A 12857-nucleotide genomic window follows, 5' to 3' on the forward strand; every position below is an offset into this window, starting at 1 on the left:
TGTAACTAAAAGATGATGAAGCAGATTTAAAAAATTTTAAACTTTGCTTATATAAGTCATGTACACCGAATGATTTCCTAATTTATCTTTTATACAAGTTAAGAAGATATGGCAACTGCAATTTATTTTCTTGAAGAGTATTAAGCAATATATCAGATTTTCAACTAACATTTTACAAACTTAAATTACCTGATCCAAACAATTCAGCAGATCACAAAGGCAAGCCCACTGTAAGGCAGGAGTTGGGTAGAAAGAATGAAAGCAGGCAGTGAAAGTATTATGACATTCCTGAAGGACAGCTTCTAGAAGACTCAAGGGTTGACTGAGATATCCTTGAGGATCATTATCCAATTTCACCATGCAGTGATCAACTCCTTCTGATAAAATTTTTCTTAACAAAGTTCTGGTTTTTCCAATACACTCTGCTAATTTGCTAGTTTCTTCTACAACTGCTTTTCCTGTAGCTTTGAGGGGGAAAAAGCAGATTGGTAATTAAGCAAAATATTAAATATGCATGAAAACAATCAATATAATTCAGTAATTCCCTATACAGCTAAGTATCACAAGTACTAATATCTTAGAAATGAAACAACTTAGAGATTAAGTGTAGTCCCAATTTTTAATCTAAATGGAAGGGGGAATAAAAACCTAGTTTCAGCATTTAAGTCCAAATTGCTTGTTCAAAATATTTCTATTTGACAGAATTTGTTTAAAATTAAACTTTATTAGATTATTTAACTTTGGCCCACTATTACTTTTTGTATCAGAATGACATGTAATCTATTTTACTCTTTATAAGCAAATACATAAGCATCATAGCAAGCTGACTTTCTCCCCTCATTTTAGAAGCAGCTTAAATGCAGCTGGGGGGCATAAACTCTCAGTTATCTCAAAGTAAATCTTCTCAATGTCTCTAATATTTTCTCCCTATAGTCATTTAAAAAAAATGCATCATACCTGACACTGGGTAAATTTCACAGGTATAGACACGCAATAACCTCAGACAACAGGTACCCACAAAGCGCAGTCTCTCTAAATCTAGGAGTGTAGCTGTGAACTGGAATCCTTTTAATCCTCTAAGTTCTTCAACTCCTAAGACTAAGGTGGTCCAGCTCCAGTGAAGAATACTCAACAATGACTCAAAACATTCCTAATCCAGAATATGAAAAAACAGACAACAATTAATTCAAATGATACCATAAACGGAATCAAATGGAAAGGCAATGGTAGACAACTTCAAAACTTTCTTTTGAATTTTTTTACTGAGTTTTTTAATTGAATTTTTTTTACTGAGCCCAAGACACTTTTATAGTTCATTTATTAAATTACCCTCAACAGTAACTTTGAAGTTTGTTACAAAAAAGGTAAAGTAGTTAAGCATTTCTAAAAACAACATTCTTCAATATTTACCTATTTAAAAATAAATTTTTCAGTGTTCCTGCTACCCAGCTATCTAGCTTATCATATAAACAAGGGAAAAATGAGAAGCACTTATAAAACAATGCATGTTTACTTGAAAGAAAAATAAAGCTTTTTACAGTCACTGTAGTAAAAAATAAAATAGAGTTTTAGTGTTAGATATCAGTAACAGTATCAAATAACTTATTTTATGTCTATATATTAAAATTTGCAATACAAACTACAGTCAATTTTTGATAAATACATTAATAGAAGATAAAAATTGACTAGAAAATACTAAAAAATTCCTATTTTGATTATTTAAAATTCTAGCATATGAGTTTAAGATGGTAGATTTTCTTTGCAGTTCTAGTCTTCTGGTTTTATCATGGTTAAATGACAACAGATACCACCTGAATCTCAAAGCAGAGCACTTACTGCCCCATTCCCACCAAATCCCAGAGCTCCTGAAAACGAGTTTATAGATTCAATTTTTTTTTTTTTTTTTTTTTGAGATAGAGTCTTCCTCTATCACCCAGACTGGAATGCAATGGTGTGATCACGGGTCACTGCAACCTCAACCTCCTGGACTCAAGCTATCCTCTCACCACCCCCTCAGCCTCCCAAGCAGCTGGGACTACAAGTGCGCACCACCATACCCAGCTAATTTTTAAGTTTTTTTAGATGGGGGTTTCACTATATTGCCCTGGCTGGTCTTGAACTCCTGAGCTCAAGCAATCCTCCTGCCTCGGCCTCCAAAAGTGCTGGGATTATAGGCGTGAGCCAATGTGCTAAGCCCTATAGTTTACCTTTTAAAGAAATGACTGAATAAGTTTTGTATATAAAGTCTACAATTACCTAATGGCCACAAAACCACTTAAACATAAATACAAAGGGGTTACCAAGCACAGAAAAGTGAGATCACTAAAGAAAGCATAACAGAGTCAAAGATCCTTATTTGAATCAAAAGATACCAAACTCAACTTAAGACTAATAGGATGCAAAGTTACCAAGAAGCCAAAGTTCTCATAGTCTTTTATTCAAAGCACAAGCTCTACAAACTGCCATGGCTCTTTTGGAAGGTCAACTTTGAGAGGATATACCAAACTTTAAATGGGCATATTTCCAGTAGAAGTATGCACATAAGTACACAAGTATTTAAAGATGTATGTGTATAGATGCTCATGAAGCAAGATGAAATAACAAAAAATGAGAATCAAAGTGGTTCTTTGATAGATATCAGATTGAATAAATTAGAATAATGGTACGCAAACGGAGAAGACTGACAGAGCCAAATGTACTGCCAGGGAAGGATGTCCATGATATATAATACGAAATTTTCTAAAAAAGATGAAAACTGTAAGTATCGTAAGAAACAAGCAAGCATGTTGTAGAGCATCCTGTATTTGATACGTACTAATAAGTTTTTTTGCATATAAAAATGGTCTGGGAAGGCCGGGTGCGGTGGCTCACACCTGTAATCCCAGCACTTTGGGAGGCCGAGGCGGGTGGGTCATGAGGTCAGGGGTTCGAGACCAGCCTGTTCGAGGTCAGGGGTTCGAGACCACCACCAACATGGTGAAACCCCCTCTCTACTAAAAATACAAAAATTAGCTGGGCGTGGTGGCAGGCGCCTGTAATCCCAGCTACTCAGGAGGCTGAGGCAGGAGAATTGCTTGAACTCAGGACGCGGAGGTTGCAGTGAGCCAAGATCGTGCCACTGCACTCCAGCCTGGGCGACAGAGCGAGACTCTGCCTCACCAAAAAAAAAAAAAAAAAAAGGTCTGGGAAGATACACACCAAAATGTAAATAGTAGGTATATATGGTGATCATGAGAATGGGAGAAAAATCTTTCATATACTTTTAGGATACTTTTATCTCATTCCTACCAGGAATATATATTCACTTGGTGGGTTGAAAAATAAATTTAAAAGGGAAAGAAACATTCTTCCTATGCATTTTACTAATATGAAAGACTACTAGCTATATTAATAAATCACATTCAGATGGTGCCTTACAGTTCCAAAAACATCTTACACCCCTTATCTCATTAGAAATTCAAAATGCTATGATGTAATTTACTTAGGTAACATACGTAAGAATCCTCAATTAATACATGAGAGATCAAGACCTTAATTTATACTTTCATTTATTTACATCATGTTGACTTTCCATTCTGCACTGTTAACCTCAATGGCACTGTGCTTCTTCATGTGTACAATGGGGATGGCAAGTGGTTCAACAAACTTCCTAGTTAGATATGCAACTCTTCCACCTAGTTCCTCAAGTAGTAATCACGCTTTTTTGGGCCAGCACCATCCTTAACTTTTCCTTCATTTTCTAATTCATTCAGCATATGCATTCATATATGATTTACTAGAAAAGCAAATCGTTATTTGTTTCAAAAACAGCAAGGCCAATTCATCTGGTCATGTTAAAATCATAGGCCAACACCTCCATTTTTCTATGATTTAAAGTATACTTTATCTGTGGTCTAGAATATAAATGTGAATACAAAACCAAATCTGAGTTTATAAATCTAGGCTAAGATAAACTTACAAGAGCAGCTAAACTCTAAACATCAAAATGTATCTGAGGACTGAAGAGAAAAGCTGAAATTTTTTAAAACATGGCTTACCACTGAGACAGTTCTTGCAAAAGACCTCTTTAAAATGTGTACAGGTTCACTGGTTTGCTGTTTGCCTTTTGAAGCACTGCCATCACTGGTTGGAAGTCTAAAGGCAGTAGACACATATAAAATTATGTTAGAAAGTCCAATGTCATTTTTTCTTTTTAAAGTATATTATACATTTTTGAATGGGAAAATAAATTATATATTTAAATTTTTTTGCCAGGTAATGCCAATACAGGGCTTTTTTGAAACATTTTTCCAAGCTAAACAAAGTTTTTAGCATATGGGCACTTCCTTTAAATCCTACCTTCGCAAGACCGAGTAGTAGAGGCTTTTTCCTCTTCTTAGAGAACATATATAATGTATATAACATATAACTTATATTCTCTAGTAATGCTACTATTAATGCTGTTATTTAAAAGTTATTCAACCAGTGAGTACCTGGGAGTAGTCCAATGCAACACGTTATGTTTGTAGAGCTACATATTACAAACAGTAACTATAACAGATTGCACGGTGCATAAAAACCAAACAAACGAAAAAACCTTTTGGGGAAAAATAATGTTTGTAACCACAAAGTGATTACCAGAAAGAAAGATAGGGAGATAGAATCACAGTTCTAGACCATTTCCTTTGATTTTTTACTGCTTAACGAATGACAACATTTTTCAGTAACGGTTTATATCCATTTGAATTCTTTATTCTAAAAGTATTGCAGTAGTCTAGAAATAAATAAGGTAAACACAGGCATATGCCTTTATACATGCTTAAATTATTGTAAGTTAAAATTTTTCAATAATGTTAAAAATATAGTAAATATTATATGAGCAAGTTATTATTTGGTATTTTAGCTAAAGGTGAAAATTTACCAACAGTAGGGAATTTTCCAACTCATTTTATCAGTCTTATGAGACTACAATATATCAACCAGGCCTGCATCTATAGTCCTCCCCATCTTCCCTGCAATCTCACTTCTCCAAGACAAATTTTATTCTTTTACAACATTTGAAATTAGTAAGAAAATCAATGGATAGATTTTTTTTAAAGTCAGTAAAATATTGTTATTGGTATAATACAGATAATCTGAGTAATCAGGCAAAGTTTAAAGTTAAGCCTGTATGGAAAATGTTTAAAAATATACAAAATATTAACTGTTTTTGTTAAATATATTTATAGTTCTACCAGCATATTATAATTTGCTGAATGCTTCAAATAATTTCTCCCTATTATGCCACGTTTTGTAATGATTCTACTTCATTATAGCAAAATAATAAACCATACTAATTCAGTATAAATATGCTAAATACCTGTATAATAACTGAGGTATCTGACCCGCATTAACATCTGTACCATTATTTGATTTCTTTGAACTCTTGAACTGGAAAACAACCCTAAGAAGAGAAAACAATGATACCAAAAACAACATGATCATTACAGGAAATAAGAAATTTAAGAAACATGTTTTCAAATCTTATGTCAATGAAAATGATTCACTCTTTTACATAAAGAAAAGCAAAAAGGTATTTTCTAGATTTTCATTCTAGCTCTGAATGGGTTAGTCAGTAAAATGAAAGAACTGAACGTGATTAGGACTCCTAAATGAGTAGCTGTCCTGTCCCTCCTAGCTCTCCAACTCAGCTTTAACCACAGCAGTAAACTTCTAAAATTTCTACTTACAACTAAGTAGTATAATATCTGCTTGACTAGCTGCATGATAAGCTTTAGCCTCAGTGTGCCATGACATTCCAAGTCTGAATGAACTGTCTATGAAAATCATACAGTCCAGGGTCAAAGTAGTCACTTAGTTCTAAAGACATTCTTAAGTTGATGCACATAACAACAGATGTGATTTTTCTACAGTAGTCTCCTTGAATATTCAGCAACAGGAAATTCACCTCACAAATAAGTCTATTTCTTTTTTTGGTCAGCTTTGTTATGAATTGACCTGCACTGGAATATATACTGTTATATAACTTCAACTGATTTCAAATAGTTTATGCTCAGGAGTAATCAAGAATAAACTGAATTTATCTTACAAATGATAGTCCTTTAGAATACATAAATCATAGTAATAGAATATTGAAATGTTGGATTTAGAGTCAACAGGTTACAGGTCTGACCTTGGTTTTAACCACATGACTCTCAGGAAATAGCAAATAATTTCACCTTTTTATTTCTCTAGTCCCTGGAGTATAAAATGGGGCTAATAACTGCTTCACAAAGCTATTGAGGGCATCAAATCAGATAAAATATAAGAATATGAACTGAAAAGTACTCTATACGTGAAAGTTATTTTAAAACAGCAAAATTTTCCCTATATTTTATTAAAATAACACACATTGCTGAAGCTTTGAAATTTTAAACTGTTTTCTCATGCACTATCAAATTTAATATCACATATCTACTTCTTTTTTATGGTTCCAAACTCCTCATTTTCCTTGTCACCTTCCTCTATATAATTTCTAATTTGGTAATCAAGCTCGTAAACAATGTAATACCCAGAAATATATACAAATACCATCTGACAGGAGCAAAGTACAGTGGTCTTATTATCTCCTTGTTCTGTCTAGACCTCAATTTGGCATGAGGTTACATGAATTTAATTTTTAGCAGTTATATTATGCTCTAGTCTTCCTAAGCTTTTGAATCCTGCTGAAAGTACTCTGAATTTTCAAAACAATATTCCTCTAACAAAAATAAGTATTGCTTAAGTAACACTTGGGCATTTACTTACCCATCATCTGTGGTAATAGATGCCTGTCCATGAGATCCACAGTCACTGCTGGGTCCTGACACTCGGGCCCATGCCACATACCACCACCCAGCTTGCAGGAGAACAGGCTCATCAAACATCATTGCATATTTTTCTCTGAGAAAAAATTAGTGAGTCAAAAACAATATTTTCTTACTTCTCTGTCACATATATTTATTTTTTCAAAATCCCTTGTGAACAAAAACATGAAACTAACTGTATTATAAAATTCTTATCAAACAACATTAAAAACACTCTAAGAAGTCTGGACAAGAATGCAAGCAAATATAGTTATTTATGTTATGGTGATAGAATTACATTTCTTCCTCCTCTTCTTGAATTCTACAATATCCTTAAATGTTATAAAACTTTCATATTAAAATTAGAATGTTTTAAACTGATATTAAAAAACATTCAAATTTTGCTGGAAAATAAAAATCTGAACTTTAGTTTTAAAGCTCATTCATTCAGCTAAATAGTTTTGAAAGGCAGCATATTAAGAAAATGGCCCTGGAGTCAGGCAGCCTGGGTTCAAGGCCCAGCTCTGTGACCTGCTAGCAGGGCAACGCAGGGCAAGTTACTCTATCCTCTCAGTACCTTAGCTTCTTCACCTGAAAACTGTGGTGAAAATAATATCCTGCTCATAGAGTTGTCCTTTAGAATGAATTAAGTCAGATAGGTGTTTGGAGTCTGTCACATAATATCTATACAAACATTATTAATTTAGAAGAAGAAAAAAGACAATAAATAAGGGCATCTTCTAAAGGATATAAACAAGTTACAAAGTACTAGGTAACAGAGTGGAAGGAATGTTTATTGGTTGTAGCTGGAATTGAAAGAAGAATAAAGGGCATTTAAAGAAGCAGGAGAATGTCATGAAAAAATCTGTAGAGGTATGGAAGTACAAAAGAGGTCAGGAAATGACAAGGTGTTCATTATTAATTTCATTAATGCATTAAGACAGCTGTAGAAGAGTAGTGGTAGAAAGTCAAAAAAGATGCTGGATGTTATGGAAATCCTTCAATGCTCCCAATGCCTTAGGAGTCTGGGCTTTGTATATAAGCTAATGAAGAAATCCTAGACGATTCTCTATAAATGAAACTGTGCTTTATATTTTCGACTCAAACTCATATGGTCAAAAACAAATGGCAGCCAGGCACAGTGGCTCATTCCTGTAATCCCAGCACTTTCAGAGGCCAAGGCAGGAGGATCACTTGAGGTCAGGAGTTCAAGGCCAGCCTGGTCAGCATGGTAAAACCCCATCTCTACTAAAAATACAAACATTAGCCGGGCCTGGTGGCATGCGACTGTAGTCCCAACTACTCAGGAGGCTGAGGCATGAGAATCGCTTAAATCCGGGAGGCAGAGGTTGCAGTGAGTTGAGATCACACCACTGCACTCCAGCCTAGGTGATGGAGTGAGACTCTGTCTCAAAAATAAAAATTAATAAATGAATAAATAAAGAAATAAATAAATACGGCAAATGACAATGGCACCTTAAGGCTTTGCTGAAAATTAATCAATTAGCTTTCTTAAAATTTTCCCTAATATTCATTTGTATAAAACACTAAAGGTTACTAAAAAAATCTTGCGATATTAGTTAATGCCTAAGAAATAGTCAAAATTTTCTTTAGATTTACTCTTTTGTTTTCAAAAGTATTTATATCTTGTACAAGCAAAGTCAGTATCTTACGATCATCCTTGTTTCTGAAAATATACATTTTCACTAGCAAGAAAACCTACAAGGTTTTCCTAACATAGTTATTGTTGGGAAACATAGCACACTATTACTACTATGAAGCTCAGTTTATAATTTTTCTTATAATAATATTCCCTGCTTCAAACCAGGGAACACTGATCATAACACAATATTGAGATAATTCTTAGGATTACGTAGAGAGGACTGATAAAGTGTAAGTATCCTCTTACTTAATGAACCTTCATAAATAAACATACTAATTTTTATAAACTCCCAAAAGGTTTCAGTAAAGCTAGTCACCTCCCCAAGTGTGTTATTATCAAATATATTCTAGCAGCATGATGTCAGAGTACATGGGTAATCTGAATTATGGTCAAACATGACCACTTGACGCTAATTATTTATTACCTGTAATGCTAGGAGTAATAAATAACTGTATTATTACTAGAACACCAGCAAACTAGGTATTCCGTAAGAGATGCATGAAAGTAAAGGTGTATAAAATATATGCATATTTCCATTTTTATCTTCAATATTGAAACAGTTGACTTATGAAATAAATTTATGAAGTATATTAGTTTTAATTCAGCATTTTTGAAAGCAATACTTATATTGCTTAATATATAATTTAATTTCTCAAGTATTTGATATTCATAGCAGATTTAAAACTTCCTTTTAAAGTATGTTTATTCATTTATAATAAATTTTTAATATTAAGTATGCAAGAGTTACAATGAATAATGCACAAATTATTTACCTAGCAGCACAGTCATAAGCCAATACATCAGTCTCTGCAAGAAGGTCACCATCAGTTTCATGATCTCCTCCATCAGGACCCAATTCAAACAGCTAAGGAAAGGAGAAAGACAATCATTTATATAAATCAGCTATACATATCTGATGAACAATGTGTTCATAATTTTGTGCATGATGAATGTATGCTGGACCATACCAAATGTAAAAAATCAGAGTACCTGCTTTTTTAACATTACTATGTGAAATACACAAACATATGTATTTAAATTAGGAAACAAGGTTTTATGGTCTACATTAATCTCTGTTTTCCTAATTTATATATTCATCTATTTACATCAAATGCTCTAAATAGTTCTATACAAGTTTTGTACCTAATATGTGCATCTGAAAAAGGTGAGAGAACTCCAACAAAAAATTTTAACTAAGTGAGTCTCTCACTAAGTGAGATTCTACCTCATTCTAAATGAGGTAGAATGTTGCTTCATCACTTACTAACTGAGATCCTGGGACCTAGTTTCCTCATCCATAAAAGGTGGGTGGATACTAACAGTTCCCATCTCACAGTACTTTTAAAAAGTAAGTGAATACTGTAGAATTCTTAAAAAAACAAACAATAAAAAAGGGTAGAGAAATATTAGCTACAGAGAGAGAAGAGCAACATAAGAATCCTTAAAAACAATAGGTAACAAAATATAGTTCAAAGTAATATGGCATGAGAAAAAGATAGATGAAAAGCATGAAACAAATGGCTCTTAAAAAAGAGGGGAAGATCCTCTGGGTAAGAAAAAAACAGAAAAGATATCCAATACAAAAAGGTTATGAAATTAAGTGAAAATAAGAATTATGAAGAAGAGGTCTTTTTAAAAAATGTCCTTTTTTTTTTTAAGAAAACCTTTTTCCTCTGGATAATTATGGAAGGTGAATTGCAAGAGAGGCAGATAAAGATTAAAATGCATTAAAATTTACTGGACAAGTACTGTGCTAGGTGTCTAAATTTTTAAATTATATGCTAATGACTTAGAAATCTTTCTCCAGCTCAGCTCTTATTCTCAACAGTCATTGGATTCCCTTTGTCCTACTAGTTCTATACCTTCTTCCTGCCTTCTCTGTTCTGGTTAATGGTCTTTCATTCACCTAATCTCTTAGATAAAAAGTCTGAAATAGGCCAGGCCTGGTGGCTCACACCTGTAATCCTAGCACTTTGGGAGGCTGAGGCAGGCAGATCATATGAGGTCACGAGTTTGACACCAGCCTGGTCAACATGGTGAAACCCCGTCTCTACTAAAAATACAAAAATTAGCTGGGCGTGGTGGCACATGCCTGTAGTCCCAGCTACTCGGGAAGCTGAGGCAGAAGAATTGCTTGAACCCAGGAGGCAGAGGCTGCAGAGAGCCAAGATGGCATCACTGCACTCCAGTGTGGGCTACCAAAGAGACTCTTAAAAAAAAATAGTCCGAAATAATCATTTTTCCATATTTCTCTGCCATTACTGTATCTATTCTCTTACTGGTACCAAAGCTTGTCAATTCAACCATATTCCCTATTGCTGGCTGGAATATTTCAACAACTAATTAGTCTTATCTCCATTCTCTCCTTCTTCTAACCCATATTCCACAAAGTTGAGGATTTTTGTATTTGTTTCATGACCCTTAGTACCCTTATAAAAATATCTTATCAGAATACTTTCTTAATCTAAAATTATTCCTTGGTTTCTCATCTCCTCCACAGCATGATATGAAGGTTCTTAATAATTTGTCCCCAATCTGACTCCTGTATTTACATTCAACCAATATTTTTGAACACATACTGTATGCCAAGCACAGTTCTAGAAATTGGGCATAAAGGGGCAAACAATACAATCAAAGAATTGGGGGCTATTGGGAGTAAGTCTATGGTTGGGAATTGAATTTACAGTTTTAAGTAGGCTTACCAGGGAATGAAGCTCTGAAGGTGATGGGGAAGTGGGCTATGTAGGTGCTGAAGTGAAGAGAGCTGTAGTTATGAGGAAACAGCAAGTGAAGAGGTACTGAGATTTGACTGTGCCTGGAATGTCTGAGGAACAATAAGCAGGCCAGTGTCACTGGATTAGAGTGAAACAACTAGTAGAACAAAAGGTCAGAGAGGTGATGACAGCCAGTTCTGATGGGGACTTTGTAGGTCCTTCTAAGGCTTTTGGTTCTCATTCTCACATAGGAAGACACTACAGGATTCTGAAGAGACAATGATGCAATCTGTTGTACATTTTAAGAGAATCACTGCCACACTCAGAACAGAACAAATGGGGTGAGGACAGACGTAGAACACAAGTTGGGAGGCTACTGTAATAATACAAATGAGAATGGCTGTGGCATGACCCAACCTGATAGCAGTGGCAGTTTTCAGAAGTGGTTAGATACGGGATTTATTTTGAAAGTGGAAACGATAATATTTGCTCCCGAAGTGGATGTGTGTAAAAGAAAGAGTAGAATCAAGGATGACTCCAAGATTTTTGGCCTGAGGAAACAGAAGAATGAAGTTAACTCCATGCTGAGTCAGTTAACTGGGATGGGGAAGAACATGAGGATAGCAGGTTTAGGCAGATCATCAGAAGCATAGTATTGAATATGTTACCTCCAAAATGCCTATCAGAGAGTCACGTGGAGACACAGCGTAGGCTGTTGTACATATTGGTTTAAAGGTCAGAGAAGAGGTTTATAAATTTAAAAGTCATCAGAGATAAATGTCCATGAGGCTGGACCACTATGAGGAAGAGAATACTTTTAAAAGATGTCAAAAACTGAGTTCTTGGCACTCCAACATTTAGAAGTCAGGAAGATGATGAGCAACCAGCAGGAGACTAAGAAGAACAGTCAGTGGGACAAAAGAAAAATGAAGTGTAGTGTCGTGGGGGACAAGAGAAGAAAGTATTTCAAAGAAGAGCTCAATTGGGTTAAATTCAGCTGACTGGTTAAGGAAGATGAGAGCTGAGGCTTGACTATTGAATTTAGCAATATGAAAGTCATCAGTGTCCTTGACAAGAGCAATGTCAGTGGTGGGGGCAAAAATCTGACTGGAGTAGGCTCAAGTAGGAATGGTAAGAGAGAGAATGGAGACAGAAAGTATAGAAAGAATATGTACAGAGACTATCTAGGTGGCTAGTCCAAGACAAATACCTTTGCCTAGGGTAGTGGTAGAAAAGTCTTTTTTGTGGAGAAGAAAGAGATATAGGAGGCCTATCAAGAAAAATGTCTAGATTTCCGGCCTATGTATCAAGCATATGGTGGATGGTACTAATCATGAGAGAGAGAGATCAGTGGAAGAGCATGAATTCAGTTGAGATATTATGACTGATAACTGATGTGCCTTTAACATATTTACATGAAAATGCATCAAAGAAGTCTGAGTTGGAGATACAAATTTGGGGATTATGGTATGCTGATGGCTATTAAAACTCTGGGCTCAAAAGAGAATGCATATACGAATATGTGAAGAAAGAGGGCCTAGGGCTGGGTCTTTGAGGAACTCCTACATTCAGTGGCCAGGTGGAAGGGGATGAACCTACAAAGAGATAGAAGAAAAAACTACAGGTATGAAAACAAAACAAAACAAAAAAATACAGAAGGGCTTAACAAATGCATAC

At 34.8% G+C, this 12857-nt stretch overlaps 1 protein-coding gene across 1 annotated transcript in view; it reads right to left on the reverse strand.

Moving 5' to 3' along the window:
- MYCBP2 (MYC binding protein 2) overlaps positions 1–12857 on the reverse strand; it is a 282438-nt gene that overhangs the window by 140257 nt on the left and 129324 nt on the right. The window contains exons 27-32 of the mRNA NM_015057.5: positions 9240–9331; positions 6766–6900; positions 5339–5422; positions 4038–4134; positions 958–1150; positions 190–464 (exon numbers count right to left, since the gene is read on the reverse strand). Of these exons, the coding sequence (NP_055872.4) occupies positions 190–464; positions 958–1150; positions 4038–4134; positions 5339–5422; positions 6766–6900; positions 9240–9331 (876 nt within the window). The remainder of the gene's footprint in view (positions 1–189; positions 465–957; positions 1151–4037; positions 4135–5338; positions 5423–6765; positions 6901–9239; positions 9332–12857) is intronic.

The sequence above is a fragment of the Homo sapiens genome, chromosome 13, assembly GCF_000001405.40.
Source record: "Homo sapiens chromosome 13, GRCh38.p14 Primary Assembly".
Taxonomy (NCBI): Eukaryota; Metazoa; Chordata; class Mammalia; order Primates; family Hominidae; genus Homo; species Homo sapiens.